Source organism: Homo sapiens, chromosome 3 (genome assembly GCF_000001405.40).
Source record: "Homo sapiens chromosome 3, GRCh38.p14 Primary Assembly".
In the NCBI taxonomy this organism is placed as follows: Eukaryota; Metazoa; Chordata; class Mammalia; order Primates; family Hominidae; genus Homo; species Homo sapiens.
The window spans coordinates 70945627-70967525 of NC_000003.12; the positions used below are offsets into that span (position 1 = coordinate 70945627).

The 21899-nt window shown below is 39.7% G+C and overlaps 1 protein-coding gene across 18 annotated transcripts in view, besides 2 other annotated features; it reads right to left on the bottom strand.

Moving 5' to 3' along the window:
* Window positions 3766–3962: a silencer, noted in NCBI's record as "fragment chr3:70998543-70998739 (GRCh37/hg19 assembly coordinates)". NCBI's record gives its function as "represses an EF-1alpha promoter that drives an FKBP-Casp9 reporter gene in an ReSE screen in HepG2 liver carcinoma cells {active_cell/tissue: HepG2}" and the evidence as "EXISTENCE:reporter gene assay evidence [ECO:0000049][PMID:32094911]".
* FOXP1 (forkhead box P1) overlaps window positions 9082–21899 on the bottom strand; it is a 629271-nt gene continuing 616453 nt past the window's right edge. For all 18 annotated transcript variants that reach the window (NR_146143.3, NR_146142.3, NM_001244810.2 and 15 more), the window contains 2 exons: window positions 20264–20430; window positions 9082–13765 (listed from right to left, as the gene is read on the bottom strand). Coding sequence is in view for 16 of the 18 variants with exons in the window: in NM_001244810.2 (NP_001231739.1) it covers window positions 13621–13765; window positions 20264–20430 (312 nt within the window). In the remaining 2 variants the exon portion in view is untranslated. The remainder of the gene's footprint in view (window positions 13766–20263; window positions 20431–21899) is intronic.
* Window positions 17715–18317: an enhancer, noted in NCBI's record as "OCT4-NANOG hESC enhancer chr3:71012492-71013094 (GRCh37/hg19 assembly coordinates)". NCBI's record gives its function as "activates a minimal SCP1, AML or CMV promoter by ChIP-STARR-seq in naive H9 embryonic stem cells {active_cell/tissue: H9 hESC(naive)}" and the evidence as "EXISTENCE:reporter gene assay evidence [ECO:0000049][PMID:30033119]".

Genomic DNA, 21899 nt, shown 5'->3' on the forward strand with positions numbered 1-21899 from the left:
GGGCAGCAATCAGTCAGAATTAGACAATGATATCCCCATATAGGTGTGTACAAACTGAGTTTCAGCCATGGAAACACACCTGTGGTGGGAGAGTGTGAGGCTTTTACACAGACACAGGCAGTGTTTGTGAGTAGGATGGGTGGGGGGGAGAGAGATGGAGAATATTTCATTAGCGGGGAAGGAAGCACATAAAATATGTGCCACCTTTGGGTTCATTCTCTGTGTGTCTCATTGTCTTGCTCTTTAGCATATTTTGTGTAATATTCTTTTTTTTTTTTTGAGATGGAGTCTCACTCTGTCGCCCAGGCTAGAGTGAAGTGGTGTGATCTTGGCTCACTGCAACTGCCGCCTCCCAGGTTCAAGTGATTCTGCTGCCTCAGCCTCCCAAGTATTTGGAACTACAGGCATGCATCACCAGGCCCAGCTAAATTCTGCATTTTTAGTAGAGACAGGGTTTTGTCATGTTGTCCAGGCTGGTCTCGAACTCCTGACCTCAGGTGATCCACCTGCCTTGGCCTCCCAAAGTGCTGGAATTACAGGTGTGAGCCACTGCACCTGGCGTTGTCATATTCTTAATTGACATGTTTATTTAATACCAGAAAGACATTTTTTTGAAAAAAAAAAAAAAAAAACACACCACTTTTGGAGGCTGTGTTTAGGTGTAGTGACCCCCGCTCGCTCTGCTTAGCTGTGATTATGCATTTGAGCCCTGCATCTAGTGATGCCTCAAGCCAAGTTCCCTCTGATCAAGCTGTGAGAGAAGTGATATAAAATTCATCCAAGTCATTTTTCCATGACCTGGATCAACTATCCCTTTTTGGCATTTTTGATTATGTTGAATTTTGTTAAAGCACAAAACAGTCATTTTACTTCTGTTCTAGCCCCAAAGAGGTGTCATTCTTAGCCCTGATACCAGTGTATTTGGTAGTCTTAGTTTTATCTGCAAAATGAGAGAAGTATAATTTAGAACATATATTTAGTGTGTTGCATGGTTCTTTCTCAGGAAGCCGTGATAATGAGTGTTCTAGCCGTTGCTTTTGCCTTGAACATCAACTACCCTATGTTGTCTCTGACATTTGGAGCTCCAGCCATATAGGCCCCCTTTCAGGTCCTGGAACTTGTAATGTCTCCTCCTGCTATAAGGCCTTAATGCACGTGGTTGCCTTTGTGAAATGCCCCCCACCCCAGAGTATATTCATTAGGACTCTTTGATTATAAGAGACAGAAAATCAACTCAAATTGGCATATACAAGAGAATTTACTGACTCACATAATTGAAAATCCAGGCATGTATCTCTAGCTTCAGGAATGGCCAGATCCAGGGACTCAAGTAATTGATCAGTATTTGGTGTGTAGGTACCTCTGTTTCTTGTTTCCAACTTGGGGTTTAGTCTCCCTTCTTGGCTTTCCATCTTGGTCTTGGTCTCAGATCTAAATCTTGTTCTTAGCTTCCACCTTTGTTTCTTTCTCTTTCATTTCTGTTTTCCTCTTTTTCCTTTCATTGGGGTCTACCTTTCCCATATTATAGCTCCAGGACCATGTCCTAGTCTATCAATCTTTTCAGGAAGAGTATTTATTACAACAATTTTAGTAAAAGTCATGGGATTAGATCTGAGCAGTCAGGCTAACGGTGACAATCCTATTGAAGCAATACTGACAGATAGAAGAAGAGTAGCTCCTCAAATGAAAAATAAGGGTGCTATAATTGAAGAAAATGGGAATGAATGCAGGGTAACATAAGTCATTGAAATCCACCTAGCTGATTCTTACTCATCTTTCACATCTTAAACATATTCCCTGATTCCTCCTTGTCAGAGCATAGCTCTGCGTACTGCAACTTCTTGTAACACATGGACTTTCATATTTCTCTGTGAAACTGATTAATGCCTGGCTCCCAGCTAGACTGTAAAACACACAAAGACAGGCTGGTTGATGCCACACCCCCCCCCAAAATTCTACCCCATTTATTGAGAATGTATTCTATGGCCTACTCTTTACATATATATACTATCTCATTTAATCATTATCATGCTCTTGTAATGTCAGAATTTTGGCTGAAGCTCAGAGAGGTGTAAGTAAATTGCCAAAAGTTGCGCAGTCATCAAGAGGTCAGGGAGACTGCATTCCACTTGTCTGGCTCCAGTTCCAGGCCTGTCTCTCCCAGCCCCAGCTTCTGTGTTTCTCTGCCAGGCATGCTCAGGGTGGCTCCACCATGAATGGGACAGAGTGAGTCTTGTCATCAAGGAGCTCATGGTTGCTCTCTGTGTTCCTCCAGGGATGCTGGATCCCAGCTAAGGCATGAAATTCTAGATATAAATGTTTTTCTCTACCTATTAGTAAGACTTCTAATGTATGTACCTTATTACATTAAACAGACTCAAGGAAGTTGGAGGGCTATTCACCATTGCAGTCAGGACTAGAAATATTCGTCTTTGAGGTGAGGCAAGCCATGAAGACACCATGATACCCCAGTAGATACCCAATAGACAGAGCCTACAATTCAGTCTTGTTCCATGCTGGGGCATGGTTCTCCTGACACACTATTTAACTGTGGGCATGACAGCCTATATAGGGCTCACATTTAGATGGTTTTTCTCCACATTATTTGATAACTTCATAACATCTTTTTTTTTTTTTAGACGGGGTCTCAGTCACCCAGGCTGGAGTGATACGGAGTCACCCAGGCTGGAGTGGATATGATCTTGGCTCACTGCAATCTCTGCCTCCTGGGTTCAAGTGATTCTCCTGCCTCAGCCTCCTGAGTAGCTGGGATTACAGGTGTGTGCTACCATGCCCGACTAATTTTTGTATTTTTAGTATAGATGGGGTTTCACCATGTTGGCCAGGCTGGTTTCGAACTTCTGACCTCAGGTGATCCACTTGTCTCAGCCTCCCCAAGTGCTGCGATTACAGGTGTGAGCCACTGTGCCCCGCCTGATAACTTCATAACATCTTAAAAATTGACGTCAATGGCTTTGTTTTAAAGCTATATTATTATGTGAGCATATTTGGTACCTTTGTATAAAACCCTTTATTTTGTTAAGAGGCTCTCTGGAGGTGGTGGCAGGACCAGGGCTAATAGACAGGGCTGTGGAATCAGTTATGGAGGTAAATATCAACTCCCCGGGTTCTTCTCCATGCAACCTTGAGCATGTCACGTAGAAGACTCCAGCGTCGGGCCGGGTGTGGTGGCTCACACCTGTAATCCCAGAACTTTGGGAGGCCAAGGCCGGCAGATCACCTGAGGTCAGGAGTTCGAGATCAGCCTGGCCAACATATAGTGAAACCCTGTCTCTACTAAAAAATACAAAAATTAGCTGGGCATGGTGGCACATGCCTGTAATCCCAGCTACTTGGGAGGCTGAGGCAGGAGAACCACTTGAACCCGGGAGGTGGAGGTTGCAGTGAGCTGAAATTGGGCCACCCTACTCCAGCCTGGGAGACAGAGCAAGACACTGTCTCTCAAAAAAAAAAAAAAAAAAAAAGAAAGACCCCAGCATCCTCATCAGTAAAATGCTGGTGACCATTCCCCACCTTGCAGATTCAGTGTGAAAGTTTGAGAAATGATATTTGGTTTTGGTTGGCTATGAAATACAATGAAATAGTTTACACAGGCAGGCTCTGTTATCTGATTGCAAGGGTTCAAATCCTACCTCTACTCTTCCTAGCAGCATGTTTGTTCACTCATTCATTCAACAAACGTGAGCATTGATTCCTGGTCTTCATGCTGGGAATGCAGCAGGGAACCACAAGGGCAAAGTCTCTGCCCTTGTAGTTGGAAGGGAGATGTGAGTAAGCAAAGACACAAATGAATATACAATGTTGAGAGGGGTTAAGTGCAATGGAAACAATAAAGAAGGCCGGGGGATGGGGCATGGAGTGGGGAGTAGAGTGGGCCATGCGAGTGCCATTTACCCTGCACGGTTGGGAAAGGCTTCTCTGCTGGAACATTGCAGTAGGGGACCTGCAGGGAGAAGGAGGGTGTGAACCACAGAGACAGCCAGGGAGAGAGCATTCCTGGCAAAGGGAAGAGCAACTTCCCGCCCTGAGGCAGAGCATGCTTGGTGGGTTCAGGCCTCCAAATTCATCAGCTCACAATGGCAAGACGACCAGTGTGGCCAGAGAAGAAGAGATCTTGAGGGGCTGGGCAGGTCTCTTGACCTCGCTGTGCCTCAGTTTCCCAATCTGAAAGAACTGATTTCAGTAACACCTCCTGAGGAATGACTGAGCTAGACCACATGAAGCACTGGATGGTATTAATTATTGTTAGATGGTAACTGCAATGATGACTTAGTGTATTTTTTTTTTAATGTTTTTTGCCTCCCTCTGCTTGGAAAGTCTCATACCTCTCATACCCCAGATCCTGCCAGAGCGCTATTCCCTTTGCTTAGAACATTCCCTCCCTCCCTCTAGCCGGCAGAGCCTTAGCCATCTTTTGGGTTTCAGTTAAACCTTGCATGTTCCAGGAAGCTTCCCTGATGGTCCCCAGTGGAAGCAGGCGGTCTTCCTGTGTATTCCTGTACTTGCCCTCTCATTGGCACTGCGTGCACTGCAACTCCTCCCTGTGAACCATTAGGTACAATGAGGCCAAGCCTGTGTCTATCTTATTCTGAGCTGTAGGTCGTTTAACGCCTTTAAAGCTTCTTTGTGGGTGAGTAGATGGATGGATGAATAGATGAGTGGATAGAAACATGTATGCTAGTGAAATTTCCTTCCGACAGGGCAAGTTACAAGGCAGGATTTGATAAGACTATTTCAGAATATTGGTTGAAATATGAAGTGCCACACTACTCTTTTATGCTGAGACTATGGATTTCATCAAGAGAAGTCCCCAAGGGAGAATATGTTATTAAAACTTTAGAACTTTAAAATTGGAAGAAACCCTTTTCATCATTTAGTTAAATGTCAATTAACAGAGGAAGCTGAGGACCAAAGAGATGAAGGAACTTTGCTAACGTCACCCAGTTTCTTTTGGTTAGGGCTGGAACTGGTAGCCTGGTATGTGGATTCTCTAGCGTTTGATTTCAGAGTGTGCTGGGCACGGTCTACTTCTAGGATCCCAGGATCCAAACACTGAATGGATCATGGATCTACTGAAGGAAGGAGCTGTGCAGGGGTGGGAGGGACTGCTAGGCTGTGTTCTTGAGGTGAGTGTTTTTAGATGTGATGCATTTTGTGGGAAGGAAATCAGTACTTTATGTATATGGCTACTAAACCCTTCAGCCCAGCTGAACACTTTAAAAAATTATTTTTGTTTTTTAGATTCAGGGGGTACATGTGCAGTTTTCTTACACAGCCAGCTGAATACTTCTAAAGAATTTAAATTTCTGGTCAGACAAATAATGCTCCGACCTGTTTGGCAGATTTTTTTTTTTCTATCCATAGAGTCCTAAAGTAGCAAGCTTGATTTGAAAAGAAATTATTAGTAAACATTTGAAAATGTGAAACAAATTATTCCCCAAACACTTAGCTCCTTCCTTCAAATACACGCTTGAAAAATGCTAAAATCTATTCTGCGAGAATGCTTGAATCTCTCCCTAAATCATAACACGGGTAAACTTACCGAACTATTTTTACAATTTTATTAGAGGTTTTAATTCACTGCTTTATCTATCTCTGTTAGACTGCAAAATAGCTTTAAATATTCAAGTGGTAATTAATGAATCTTTTATGTTGCAAATCAAACATTTTTCATCTGTGCACTGGTGGAGTAGCAGTGAGGAAGGATTTAAAGAGTAATTGTTCCCCCTCTTCCCCACTGGTGACCAGCATCTACGTTACGTTTTGGGGAAAGTGGGCTTGTGTTCCCTGCCCAGTGGGGTGAATGCGCAGTGTGAATGATGTCTGATGTCTTTCGGGAGGTCAGGATTTCTTGACATGTTTCTTGCCAGAGACATTCCCGACTAGATGGAAAGTCTTTGAATGTGGAATTTTTGCTTGAGTGCAAAATAATAAAAAGCATGTGTATGTTTGAAAAAAAAAAAAAGGATCAGCTTAATGGCAAAAGAGCATTGGCTTACATTAATATTCTATTACAGTAAAAACTTCTGTTTAATAAATTTTCTCCAGACTTTTTTCCTCCAGAATCTCACATATTTTTCTAAGTGGCATGCCAACCTAAAGAAAGTATATATGATACATTTGATTGATGTTAAGTCAATAGCGTGCAAAAGCCATTTAAAATTGTATTTTAAGTGTAGAAATATAAACCCAAGGAAACATGTATAGTACCCTATATTGAAAAGGGGAAAAAGGGTTAGCTTTTCAGGGGCTGAAATGCCTTGTAAATATTATTCTGTTTAGAAGATAGTTTTAAAATGTGGCGTTTTATGTCCAATAGTAAGAAAGCAAGTCTGAAATCCTGCGATTTAGTTTAAAACCCAAAATCAAGCTGGTATTAAAGACTTCGCATAACAAAATAGTTTTCCTTTTCTCTCTCTGTCACTAATGAGAAATGAGCCAGTGAGAGCAGCCCTTCAGAACTTTCACAAAGGACTGACAAATTCTTGATTGGATGCCATATCGGCCACCCTCTGCTGTTCTATGGCCCTAATTAATACTGGGCTTGGTGACATTTATGTATCAGAGCAGTAAGCTAAACAGGAAACAATTTATGTCACCTAAAGCTTTTTAACAAATCGATGCAACTATTTGTAATTGCTTGTTTCACAAGATTAAAAGTGCTAAGGCCTGATCTTCGCCCACGGATTTGTGGTCAACATGACCTGTGCTTCCGTTGTTTAAAAAAGAAAGAAAGAAAGAAAGAAAGAGTTGGTGATCAGCACTGACTTCCATCAAGTAATCCATATTGCTAATATTTCTGGAATTTTAATGTAGTTACAATTTATAGCCGATCAAATGTGGTTACCTAAATTGCTGTTGCTAGTAGACAGTTTAACTGTCTTTATTAATTACAGTATAATTTAATGTTTGAGTACCGGCACTTGTGTTGGTCATTTTTACAGCTCGAGCAGTTATCTGCCTTATGACGAACCATTTTAGCATTTTCAATGGAAATTTGCTAATATGATGAGTGATAAAAATGTCACACGCTGGTAAATAATGATTATTGCTTTGGCTGAAATTAATTCTTGAAAGGCCGGTTACCTTCAAATTAACATTATAACTTGAAGCTTGTCTTTTTCCCTTCACAATATTTTCAATATAAACCAAAAAAAAAGGACCGTTGATAATTTCAAATGTGTATATATATATATATTTTGGTATTAAGCATTGAATGTCATTTTACAATCAAAGTGGAAATAAGACAACATTGGGTTTTGTTATTTTAAAAAATAAAATACCATTTAAAAATAAATATAAGTAGGTTATATCTAGAGATGGTTTTCTAATCCAAATATTGTCCCACAGTTAAAACCAGTGTTTTTGTATGTAACTTAATTTCCCTCCAACGTGAATTTTGTCTTAAACCTTTCATCAATTCATTAAATGAAGGTTTGAGACACCCAACTTCACATTATTTGAATAAAGAATACTTTTATTTGATTCAACTACAATGAAGATGAAGGATAAATTGTGATTACTACCCTACACATAAATACGTAATATCATCAAAGACAAAAATCTAATAAGAAAGACTAATTATACTTTGTTTTTATCTTTTTTAGTGGGGAGGGAGAGGTGGTTACTATTATGAAGCTGCCTGTGTTGGTGTGAAATTAGTCTTAAGAGTTTTATGTTCTTTATATAAAGGCGCCTATTTATAAGAAGAGCCAATATTTTGGGTTTGCTGCCTCGTTTATGAGAGTGACAAGCCTGAAATAAATATGTAAAAGAGTGTTCCTGCTTGAGAACAATTCCTGAAATATAAGTTAAAATGTACTATGCCTCAACCAGCAAAATCTTCACTAACATATCGTCATACTTGGTTTAGGTCCTCCAGTTTATTAAAAGAAGTATCTGTACATTTTTAAATTTTACTAATGTATAGGCTGTAAGCAGTATTTAGGTTTAAGCCTGGTAATTACAGGAATTTGAATTAACCCTAAGATTATAGTCTCAGTAGCCAGGTGAGAATTAAAGGTTCAAATGTTTTGCTAATTATTGAGACTAAGGGGTTTCTAGATAGGGCATAATTGTTAATTCAAAGAGGACACTAGTTTGCAACTTAATAGCAAAATCTACTTGTTAAAAACACACACACAGACACACACACACAACTTTGCTAATATGGGCTTTTCAAAACAATGCTGGGAAAGAATGTTCACTTGTATCCTCAGCATCGGTGGGTGTTTTGCAGAATAAAGACTGGGAGGTTAATTTTCAAGTCATCCTTTGCCCTGAATTATGTGCTCTGAATTATATATGTAATGGTTTTATGTTACCACGGTTTGGCCACTTAAAATACTGCTTTCATATTGGCAATTTAATTTTTTATTGAAAGGTGATGCTCAAATTCATTAATCCCTAGAATATATACTATAGAGTAATATTAAAAAGAAACAGCACATTTCCTAAATGCATCTAATTATTTTTTTAAAATCTCAAAATTAAGATGGTTTTTCTGGAATATTTAGGTACTGAAGTTCTGTTTTCTTCAATGAATGCAATTATCTAGCATACTTTTGATAGAATATTTTTATAAAATCATTTGTTCTAATCTAAGCATTTATCATTATATGCAAAAAGATTTCTTGATGAGAATATTATAGACGGTGCATGTTTTTGACATTAGCATTTTATTTGGATGACTAATCTTGCAGATGTGAAATTTTAATGAATTATTCATGAAATTGCTTTCCTCTGAAATTTTAGTTTGCTCTTAATGCTAGTTATTAAACATTTTGTTTTTCTTTATAAAATTTGATGAAAAAAATAAGAGTGTGCTTCCTCAAGAGAAAAGATAACATCTCTTGCTCTTTTTTTTTTACTTCCCAATTCTCTAAGTGGATACTTTCACTTGGAAATCCTGAGGATAAGAGCTTCAGCCTTCCCTGATCATGAAAGCTTTAAGATTGATTTTAATTCTGCATTGGAAGCAGCTGGTGATAAACCTAAGGCATATGCCTAACATACAATATCAGCAGGTCAGAAAGGGAAACAAACTTAGGCTGTGGCAACTTTTACTACCAGCGTGAACAACCAGCATTTTTATTGCATTTGAGAATGCTTATAATGTCAGTAATTAGTACTGACTACACAACATTTTTTTTATTGTCTGTATCCGCAGACATGGAATGATGGAATTACAGTTGATGTCAAGGAATGAGTTTCTTTTATGCCTTATCAAAACAAAACAAAACAAAACAAAAAAATTCTTGTTACTGGCAGCACATATACATGAAGCACCATGCTCACAGTCCGGACTGTATCATCTTCATCAAGGCTTATGGGTAGCAGAGATTGCGTGAGCTACACTGGGCCCAAGAAATGCCTTCAGCATTGTAAATCTGATTTTCAGGATAAAGAAGCAAAACTGACTTTGAAGACATCCAGAATTTCAGGAGGCTATGTCATTAACCAAAAGGTACCAAAAAGATTCAAAATCTGAATAAGCACACTCTTCTTTGTGCCTTTGGAAACGGAGTTCAGCTGGAATATGGAAAAGAGAGGAAATATTTTTTAACTCTATTTTTTTTCATGAGGAAAAAAAAGCTAGTGATTTACAGCCTATCTTGGGTTAAGAATCCAAGGTTTTCTTTACTAGGTCTGACTGGATGCTGGGGATGGTGTTAGAGCTGTCCAAAGGTGGCAGGACTGGTGGTAACTCTTCACGTATGTACATAAGCCTTGATATTCCATTTTGTGGCTGGTCCAAGGGGCAGCCTAACTCATCTTACAAGACGGACTCTAGGGACAGGTAGGTTGGATCCTCATTCCTGACAGTGCATTTGTCTGACACACGGGACTACCTCCCTAATGTATGCTTTTCTTTGAGAAAAAAAAAGTAACAGATTTTCTTTACATCTTGGCACCTTGTAAAGTTTTTTTTTTTTTATACAAAAGTTCAATAGTTTTGACACTCCCCATTGTTAATCACTACTTCACTGATAAACTTGGAAAAGTGTGACCCTGGAATTTCATCATGCAAAATATTTACTGCAGCAGGAGAAAACATTTTTTAAACAACATTTTTTTTTCTTTTCAAATGTATGAACTTGTTTAAGATAGCCAGGAAGGCAGTGGTAGGATAAACACAAGGGATAGGAATGTATCAAAAAACAGATTAACACACACGCACGCGCGCACACACACACACACACACACACAAAACCTGTACAAAATGCTCCAATCAATGAGAACAGAAAAAAGAAATCTTCAACTATGTTACAGTTTAAAAGCAGAAAAAAAAAGTTAGGGAGTTTCTCCCTCCCACATGTCAGGAAATGTCATCCAATATTCTTAAAGCAAGGATAACTAAATAAAATACATGTGCAGCATATTCTGCAATTCCGTTACATACAGTAGTTTTTTTTCCAAAGCTATTTTTTTTTAGTATCGTTAATATAAAGCAGTTGCACAAAAAGCAAAGGTGTTTTGACAAACAGGTGTATGCATTTATTCCTTTTTAGGAACAATATCTAAAAAAAGAACCGCCCTCTGCCCTCCCCCAAAAAAGACAAAGATTCACACAGACACATCGGGATATATGTACAACGTAATAAACCCCATCCTAAAGAAGCAACTGGGATAACCCCCAGGGGATACAGAATCAGAATTGTAAAAATCATAGTGAAGTTTGCTTGCTGTAAAGCCTGAGAATTTTTTTTTCAGTTGGTTCTTCTGCAAGGCTGTGATACCTGCAAAGATATGTAAAATCTAATTTTTCTTTTTTTTTTTTTTTTGCTACAGTCTTTAGACTAAGCATGCAAGACATACGACTAAGTGCAACTGAGTGAAATGTTTTTTTTTTAAATTTTAATCATTCCCTAAAGGTTTGAACTGAGGTATGCGTACTAACAGTTTCTCATGCTGTTATCTTTACTCATGTCTAGCTACACATGCTGAGAATGAACTAATCTACCAGATTTTTATCCTCTTTTGAATACCAAACTAACCAGCAACCACTCAGTTTAGAAGCACAGGGCCCCCTTCCCATGACCCTGTCTGGCTACTGCCTGCACATCATGAAGCTGCCTGGAAAAGTTTTTTTTTTTTTTTTTTTTTTTTTTTTTTTTTTTTTTTTTAAAGTCTTGCGTGACCACAGACTGCCCTTTATACAGAAAGCAGAGTGAAGCTTCAAAAGTAACTGCCAGAGAAGTTTTTGTACCAAGCTTATGAGTGGATGGGAGTGTTACTTTTCTTTAAATGAAAAATGCTGACCAAAGCCTAATCGGAAAAAAAGGAAAAATTAAAAATAAAAACAAACTGAAGGATATATGCCAAGATAAACCAAAATTAATACAGTGATCACAGCACAGTTCTTAAACAAAAGTGGCATACAATCTAAAAATATCTCTTTTTCTAGAAATACTATTATGTAATCTAGTTCAATTATGGAAGCTTTTCTGTCCTGACTCTAAACTGTCTCCTTTATTGGATACTCTAATTGCAGTGGCATACATTCATTTTTTTTTTGAGATGGGACTCCCTTCCTTCTGTAGCTCCTTTAATATTGTGTCCTATTTTTATCTGCAGTAGCCCCATAAAATCTCTTTAAGAGAATGAGTTTTGGTCTCTGTAGAGGTACACAAAAAGAAAAAGGAAAAATAACTACTAGAAAAAAGTAACAACTTTGGTTCCATTATCTACTTGGTCTTCTAAATTTACGATGAAGGAGCAGTTCTCTTTCTCAGGTTGCAATAGCCTATCGCTTGTCATTTGCCTCTAAATTCTTTTGCCTCCTTTGATCAACAATAAGAGGATATTTGGCTTCATCAGATAAAGCATAAAACAGAGAACATAATTTACCTTTGTGTAATATCTTTGGTAATTTTAGAAAAAAGGTACAAAGAAAGAATATAAATTAAGCTTCGAAAGGCTCTCGAACTAAAAAAAACTACAGTCCTATATAAATAAATGACAGGAAAGTGGGTGCAGAGCTGAAGTGTGGAGGGGTTCTAAGGACTGAGGTTGTACTGACCTGTAACCATCACATTTCTGCATACCATGTTTGGGACCCCCCCAAAGCCCAGGGCCTACATGATATCTTCTATGAGTTTTTGTGATACTGGGTTGGTGATATAATATTGCATAACAAACTGCAGTACCAAATTTGCATATTTGAAATTAACACTTTAGCATTTGCTGAACTCAGCCCTCGTTAACTCCCTTAACAAGTTCAATCTGAAATCGAATTTGCATTCAAACAGTTTAATGCCACCAAGTAGGTCTGAACTAATGTATAAACTCAGCGCCGCCGCCGCCACCCCTACTTTCAGGGCAGCTGCTCGGGGAAGCCGGTTTTTTTTTTTGGCCATTTTGCAAACAAAACCAACCCACACCCGTTATCGCAGAGCACCCAAGGCCCATGGCAACTTGGTTCCACAAGGGAGAGCCTTCCAAGGCCATATTGTCAGTCTAATTAATATGAGCTTTTTTTTTTTTTTCAGTGCTGCCTATGTTTCCTTGTGCTGGTAGAATGTGGTGGCATTTATTAATGGTTGCTGCAAAAAAAAAAAAAGAAAAGAAAAGAAAAAAAGAAAATCCGAAACACCCCTCCCCCGAACCACCCCCAATACTGCTGCGTGGAATGAATCGGCATTGTTCCTAGAGTTTGTCTCTCTTTTTTTTTTCTGTCATTCATTCTCTTTCTGGCAGGACGTCACGTCTGTGTGAGAGGGCCTTCATGTGTAGAGTGCAGCATTTGGGACCTTTTTGAAAAAGACCAAAACGGAATGTTTTCTGACTTTAGAGAAACGTGGTGATGTCTGAAGGAAGATGGAATGAGTGACAGAAAGCTACAAACGAGAAATGACATTCAGCTTTGTATAATAAAAACACCTATTAACATTCATCACAAGGTACAGAAAACTTTAAGCCTCCAAGAGGCCATCGGCCCAAATGGAGGCCTGAGGTCAGAACTTAAAATGGTATAGTAGAAGGAAAAAAAAAAAAAAAAAAAGCAATACATTAAAAAGTTTGGGATAATTATTTTTTAACCCCTCCCCCCAATACACACACAAAGGCCTTCCCCATCCCAACTGGAAGCAAAAAAAAAAAAAAAAAAAAAAAAAAAAAAGGAGTAAAGGCAGTGATAATCAACATGCAGTACTGTGCAAATAGGTCGTCCATTGGAATCCTTAAATTCTGGGCAAAGGCTTGGTCTGCAGCTTAGGTGCACAAGCTCTGTCGGGCGTCCTCAGTGTCCAACGTTGGCAGGACTGCAGTTCAAAGTCTGCTGCTAAAAGTGAATCAGTTTAGCAAATTTACAACACTGATGTTGACGGTTAAGAGAGGAAAATCCCAAGTACCAAACAAGTCCATCCAATGCACAGAGTACAAATTCCTTTTTTCAACAAAAAGTAGAAAAATCAAAAATACTCCCAAATGGGGTTCTTGATGGCACTAAGAGTTAACACATTTCAGAGTTGTCAAAACGTAGTGAAAATCCTCCAGACTGTACAACAAATGGAGAACAATTTCACTGCTAACTTTTGACGTGTTTTTTTTTTTTTCCTTTTTCCAATCTTCATTCTCGGGGTTGGCCCGCCCCGATAGTCACTCCATGTCCTCGTTTACTGGTTCATCTTCGTAATCTCTGTCATGGTCAAAATCTGGACTGTGGTTGGCTGTTGTCACTAAGGACAGGGGCCCTTCAGCTTCCTCTGGATCGAGGGGCTCTTCTTTGACGTGTACAGGATGCCTGGAAAAAATATGCAGAGGTTCAGTGAGGGTACTTCCCAGCCCATTGCAGCTCAGGTGCACTGAAAAGTTTGGGGCAACAGAAAAGCCGCACTCTAGAACTAGAACTCTGTCCAGTATTGTTACCATTAGCCACACGTGGCTCTTTAAATTGAAATGAACGAAATCTTACTACATTTAATATTCAGTTTCTGAGTTGTGCTAGCCACATTTATGTTCAAAGGCCCCATGTGACTAGCGGTTAATTCTGGCCAGCACAGAGACAGACGGAACATTTGCATCACTGCGTAAAGTTCTCTTGGGTAGTGATGCTCTGAATCACTAGTCTCTGGACTGGTGTGGGCCTCTCCTCCCTGGTGGCATTTCTCATACTTTAACACACGCTGCAGTCACCTGTGGGCCTTGTTGAAATGCAGTGTGTGATTCAGGTCTGGGGTGGGGCCTGAGACTCTGCATCTCTAACAAGCCCCCAAGTGATGCCGGTGGTCCTAGAACCACACTGAGTACCAGATAACAGGTCCCGTAGTGGCATCCTGGGTGGATGAATACCCATCTTCAAATAATTACACGAAATAAGAATCTGTAATGCAACGGCAGTTTGTGGGGACCACTGAGCAGAGGAGGCTGGGCTAATCATGGCTTGCTGTGTGTTCTGCTTTGCTAGTTAACATGCAGAACCTGTGAAAGAACTCTCCAGAGGACGACCCCAAGCGAGGTTCTATCATTAATCAACTTCAAGCAAACACAGCAAAGAGACACCATGATATACATGCTTGAAACTCCAAATTAATGCATATTTTTACAAACTGTCAATAAGGCAAGAAAAGCCCTGCCAGGAAACACAAACGTAGAGGAAAAGGCTCGCTCAACACAACAATATGATAAGAAAGCAGAGCCCCAATCAGAATAATAACGCTGTCAGCTGTAAACAAGGCAAAACATGAGGCCCGGCTGGTAGCAGCCACTGGGATGAGCGTGGTTGCGATGAGGTCTGCCAACTTTCTCATTATGGACCAGCGCATGGTTCACCCAAAGGGGACTGGGGTGATCACACAAAACCGCTCGGATAACTATTGAGAAATGTTGTTCGTAAATCATATTTACAACTGATCCTTTGCATATACAAATGACTTTCTGTTGCAGGGGCTTTTGATATGTAAAAGAACCATTTGAGTTAAAATGGTCCCATCTCTGGGACAGGCTGCAGAAGGGAAGATTTTTAAATTGACGTTATCAAGTATTAGTAATAAGAGGTGGTAATGGGGATGGTTGGCTTCCTAAATAATTGATGCTGTATGCAAACCCCAAAGGCCCCTTGAACCATTTAAAAACAAACAGAGGAGTGCTTTGGACTGCCCTTGAAGACAGGAACCTTCAGAATCAATTGACTCTAAAATTAGCACAGCCTAGAGAGCATTTAGGGGGGCTAGATGTTACCTTTAAAAAAATAATTTTTTTTTTTTTTTTTTGAGACGGAGTCTTGCTCTGTCGCCCAGGCTGGAGTGCAGTGGCGTGATCTTGGCTCACTGCAAGCTCCGCCTCCCGGGTTCACGCCATTCTCCTGCCTCAGCCTCCTGAGTAAGCTGGGACTATAGGCACCTGCCACCGCGCCCGGCTAAATTTTTTTGTATTTTTAGTAGAGAAGAGGTTTCACCGTGGTCTCGATCTCCTGACCTCGTGATCCGCCCGCCTTGGCCTCCCAAAGTGCTGGGATTACAGGCGTGAGCCACTGCGCCCGGCTGCTAAAAAAATAATTTCTTTATTCTTAAAAACTTTGCAAAACAAAATGTAGCAAAGTTGCATTACATTACATTTTATGTATGGCTCTCCAGCTATTTTATTTATTTATTTATTTATTGAGACATAGTCGTGCTCTGTCACCCAGGCTGGAGTGCAGTGGCAGGATCTCGGCTCACTGCAACCTCCAACCCCCAGGCTCAAGTAATTCTTCTGGCTCAGCCTCCCAAGTAGCTGAGATTACAGGGGCCCACCACCACACCTGGCTAATTTTTGTATTTTTAGTACAGATGAGGTTTCACCATATTGGTGAGGCTGGTCTTGAACTCCTGACCTCAAGTGATCCACCCGCCTTGGCCTCCCAAACTGCTGGGATTACAGGCGTGAGACACCATGGCTCGCCGGATATTTTTATTTAAAAGGAACAGTTGTACATCAGTGCAAGGAAGGCTGCATGGGGAGTCACCCTCCCAGCAGTCTGTATTAAGCATTACGGATGGGGATTTTTTTTTTTAATGGCTGTATTAGTGTTTCAGCAGTAAGAATTAGGACTGGCTGCATAATTTTGGAAGCCCAGTGCAAAATGACAATCTGGGGTCTTTGGCTCAAAAATTAAAATTTCAAGACAAAAATGGCATTAAAGCAAGTACATGCCAGGCATGGTGGTGTGTGCCTGTAGTCCAAGTTACTTGGGAGGCTAAGGTAGGATGATCACTTGAGCCCAGGAGTTCGAGTCCAGCCTGGGTGATACAGTAAGACCCCTATCTCTAAATAAAAAGGTAATAAAAGCACATAAAATCAAGTGCAGTGTCCTTTTAGGCATGAGATCCTATGTGACTGCATGTCACACACCTGTGAACCAGCTCTGCTAAAATACCCTACATTCTTTTAGGAAGAATTAGTTATGCTGATGATGATTCCTTTAAAAAACACAAACCCTTAGTTAAGGCCAGTTTTCTTATTTTTGCCAATCTGTTTCCATTTGAGGTCATATTTTTAAATATTGTAAATTCAGCAGGAATGCTATTTTTTAAATTTTCCTAGCTTTACAATTTATAATGTTTATGGCTAGATGAGATTCCACTGTGTTGACATATGTCAGTTTCTGAATACTAGGCATTTGAGGATCATCTTTCTCTTTCTCTTTTACTGTTTGTATAATACAATGACCACTTTTATCCATTAATCTTTCTACTCTATTTCTGTTGATTTACCTCCTTAGGATAAATTTCTAAGAATGGAATTGTTAGAGCAAAGGCCAAAACATCTTTATGGTTCCTATGATTTATTGTGATATTAACTTCCAAAGGGGCTATCAATTTAAACTCAATCTCATCAGCAGCAAGCATTATTTGTGAAAAATATTTTGTTGCTTAGCAGGTACAAGGTAAGCTCAGGTTACCTTAAATTGTGTTTCTCAGATTACTGACAATGGTGAACATTTCCTAATGTTTGTTTCAAACTTTCATTGTTGAGAACTGCAACTTCATAAATTACTGAAATTTATGTTTTAGCTATATGCTGATTGAGGTTCAAATGTTGTTTTCCAAATCAACATTTTCCTACTTTCTTAACTATCAGGTCTATCAATCTTTTCATGTTTATAACCCAGAATTGAATGATAGAAGAATGTAAGATCATACAAGACCTTGGGGAGGGGGAAGGAGGATGAGGACCCCTAGAAGAAATAGAACCATCCATCTCCATCTTAATGAAGTTCTTGCTGTATAATTTTAGACTTTGACCAATATTTTGCTAACCTTATCCAAAAAATCAGGTGCATGTAAAGCCCCACAAAACACAGTTCACAACATCAGAGAATATTTCGTTTACCTAATTATCCTCATTTGATCATTACACATTGTATACATGTATCAAAATAACACATGTACCCCCAAAATATGTAGTTACGAGGTATCAATTTTAAAAGCTGTAGAAGTGAAAAAACAAATAAACAAAACACGTTTTCCCCCTAAATTGGTAGCCAAAATTCATGAGGATTATTTACTATCCACAAGACAGAGGTAATGATCCTGTCATGCCTGTAGGCTCGACTCCCAGTGCCTCATGCAGAGTGGATGCAGAGTGGGTCCCCAACAAATGTTAACTGGCTAGATCTACTGTGTGACCACCTGATGACACAACCAGGTTAGACAGTAAGGTTTCGAAACTTTAGAGAAGTGAAATCCGATTTCGGGACATTTCTTGATGCCGGCAGATACCCCTGGGGTGTGGCAAACGTGTAGCACAAGCACACAGCACTTCAAAGAACAAAAGAGGATGGGATTCCACGAAAGATACATTTGAGATGAGATGCAGACTACTGAAGACACTACACTTCACATACACTCACCGTGTCTCCTGGAAGTTAGGGCTGTGTATGATGCACCTTCCTCTCCTTGCAGACACTGCCCCCACCCTTTCTCTCCAACTCCTACTTCCGAAAGGGCTACCGCTGAATAACTGTGTGCAAAACCACACATTTCCCTTCTCCTTACATCTGAGTAATTCCTTTGTTTAGCCACTCTGGGAACACAAGAGTTTTAAAATAAAGCTGACTGGCGTTTAAAGGCATTGTGTTCTGGGGGTGTCTGCACAGCATGGAGTATTTTGCTTTGTAGCTCCTTTAGCGCCTATCAGGATAAAAGTAGAATGCCCCAAAGCCATAATTATGTGACCACTTTCTAGTGTTTCAAAGGACGAACGAAACGTAGTGGTATCTGACTGTCACAGAAAGGGTAAGAATGAAGAGTTCTGTTTCAACACTCAATATTAGCTAGGCCGCCTTCCTAACAAGGTCCTTCAAGCCGTGCCGTAAAGTTTATGGCTTGATTTATTCCAATAGACTGGAACAGTTGAAAAACAATTTGCATCATAGCAGGGTAATGCATATTGGACAAGAATGGAAACTCTTGTCACTACAGAATTCTCTTAATGGAAATATGAGGTCAAAAAGAGTAACAGTCTATTACACAGATAGCAGGCGCAGGGAATCTGCTGTTGACATATAATTACATTTAGCAAACAGCACAAACCTGTGAGATTTGAGCAACGCATGTTGACATTTTTGTGTAGGGTTTCTTGTAAAAAATAGTTGAAACCTTCATTTCATCAAAAATTACAAAGACTATTGTAAAACATGGTTTGGGTAATACTGGGGTTAATTCAAATTTGTTAAACAAATTAACCCTGCAGTGACTTTCTTTCGTACAGCAAAATCAGCATCACTCTGAACTGGTGCCTGTGGCTTGTATCCAAGTATCTCTTTGTTTTAGTGATTCTTTATACTAATAGGAATATATGTCAACAAAAACTTGGAGTTTGTACAGATTATGAGAAATAGCATCACTTCCATTCAATAACCAGACATTTTTGTTCTGAGTATTTCTTGCAGTAGCTTATACCAATTTACGTTTGCTCTGAACTTCGTTAGTATCTAAGTAAATACTCGTGTCATGACAATGATTTAAGATGAATACAAATGTGGTAACAGGAAAATCGGAAACACTAAGTTGCTTTGGAAAGGATGAAATATAGCAGCATCAGTGTGAAAGATAAACACACTCTTAAAATGCTGTGAAGCAAATGCTAAGATACTGTTCATATAAATTAAAAATGATTATTTCCATATCCAGAAAGGATAGTAAAGATCCTTTCTGAAGTGCTGTGGAGATGAAACTCAAATGCTAGAAAATCAAATTTCAGATTTCCACGTACCCTCCAAATTATGCTGGCAGATAACACTTTTTTCTTTGTCATTAGATGCCAATTCCATATGCTCCTAATTGTTACAGGTCATAATTTCCATTCCGATCACTTAAATTATCTTAAAATAAGATGTTGGTCAGTAATTCAGAAGTAATGTGTAGACAAGCAGCCTATTCTAGGAACTGACAGTACTGCAAACACGAAATGGGTTAGTACCTTAAAGTGGGCAACAGTTTTGAAGAACCTCACTAAAAGGGAGAGACTGTCATCCCACAGCATCTCCTGCAAAGCCAATCATTTGGAATAATGTGGTTTCTTCGCTCTGTTTGAAAACTTTTCCTGGGAGAGAGGGTGTTATAGTTACACCAAGTTCTCTCCCATCACCCACTCACAGGGGCATCACAGTCTCCTGGCCTCCGCCTTTCCTGTGGTTTGCAGTCCTGGTTCCATTCACATTCAGCATGGGCAGCCATCGCCCATCACTTCATTCAGTTATATGTGCACTCATTATACTGCCGTCTGCTGCTATAATGCTCCTATTAATTTTCCTTTTGATATTTTAAGAGCAATCTATAAATCATGCCGCCTTTCATTTGTGCCATCATTAATGGTTGGTAATAATGCTGCGGCGGCGTGTTCGTGGTGAACCTTAGTGCACCACCAAGTAAACAAGCATCTTTTTCTCTCGGCTAGGTTCAACATGCCCGAAAGTTGAACAAACTGCAAACTTTTTCATAGGAATGCATATTAGTTTGAGGAGGAAAAAGTAGTGTGGCTTAAATAATGGCCTGGGATGTGATAAAGCAGAGGGAAAAAAAGCAAACCTGTTTCTCATTTTATTGCTGTGAATTGCTTTTATGGGAAAGTTAGCAAATAGTCCTTTTATGCACTAACCAAGCTGAACATTTCTTGAAGTACAAACTTCTAGCTTGGTTCTGGGAAATCAGAAATTACAGAAAAGGTATATAAAGCCCAGAGAAAGGGCTGTCTCCCTGCGTGTACCTAGGGAGACTAGGGTCAGATAGCAAAGACCTGTTGGGTGGACAATACTCACACGGCTTGCATAGGAGATCTGCCTGGACTGCTGTCACTCTCGTTGCTGTTGGTATGCTCCATTGCCCCGTTCAGCTCTTCCCGTATTGCGCTGGCTAAGTTGCCCAGAGTGGGATTTCCCATGGAAGCGGTAGTGTATAGAGGTATACTATTCTCAGCCATTGAAGCCTGTCATCAACCAAGAGAAAATTTATGAAGACACAGGGTATGTAAGACAAGGAAACTACTAATTATGGGTGTACTCGATAATCTTCAGTTTGAGTTAATTGTAGCATGGCTGGCAAATACAAGTTTCTAAGAGGTGTTGAAAGATTTTGCTTTAAAAACGACTCGTGGCACCTGTCCCAAGCTTGGTTTTGAAGAGCTAACTGGGGGCCAGGGGGGACCAAGTGCCTGTGGGTAGGAAGGACTCAATTTGGTCCTGCTTGGTAGTCACATGGTTTAGACGGGCTTTCGAATATGAGGTTTATGTCGGATGCGTTTTTAAGAGGAGCTGAATATTTCCAGATCACAGTGAAATATAATAGAATTTTTATTTCTTTATCCATTTTGATGACTCCAGTATTGGATATTAGAGATTTTGATCAGATTATCCTGGCCGCACCGCTCAAACTTATGAGAACTTCCATAAACATTTACCTCTTAGATCCTATAGAAAAGGAAGAGATTATAGAATTGGAATCAATTTTTTATCTCCTCCCATCATTTCTGTTTTAATGATTTTTGAATCTGTTTAGTGCAGTTTGAGATAACTGGTTGAAGGAAACACCACGTAGTGTTTCAGAGTCCGACCAATTGCCTAGGATTTTAGGACTAAAGAACTCTGGCAAAGGGAAGCTCTAACTCATATTTATTTTTGGTGCCAAAGTACATCAATATTAAAGGTTACAAAGTTACTCCACGTGAGTGTCAGCAAAAAAGTGAGGAAATGAAAAAGAAGAAATCCTAAACTTTATTTAGGATAGGTAGGATATTATTCACTTCCTGTTATACTGCATTTGAATAAAAGGGACACCAAGTCTGAAATGCAGACGCTAGTTACATATACCACTGGACTAAGTAAGGTACCCAAAAATTTGTTTCATCCAGGTGGTGATTACGACCCACTGACTTTTCATTTCATTAAAGAGGACACTTTCAAAAACTGGCAGCTGTAATTAAACCAAGATTTATCACAACTGTCCTCCTGCAGACTAGACTATGCCTGCTTTTCCATCCTAATGAGAAGAAAAGTACATTAGATGTACTTCTTTTCACAAGATGATCTGGCATAGTGACTTCCACTGGCCAGTCATACAAGAGTCCGAACTATTCTAGAAATCCTGGCTCTAGAAAGAAAGTAAAAGCCAAAAGAGTGCAAAGCTGGGCTGCAGAAATCTGTCTGGCTAGTATGACAATCGCAGCCTCACTCACTGTACAAACCGCAAAGCCAGGGCTTTCTAGGTACAAGCCCTGTGTTAGAAGTCCTGTGCACACTCACCAAACACAGCATTGGATAATGGACTGTTTCAAAGCTCGGCCCTATGTAAGCCCACAGCTTTTCCTTCCTTCTACTTGTAAATGTGTATAACTGCCTTCTTTTAAAAAGTAGGGGGAAAATCCTGTGTTTATTTCCAAATGTGGTGAACTCATTTTGA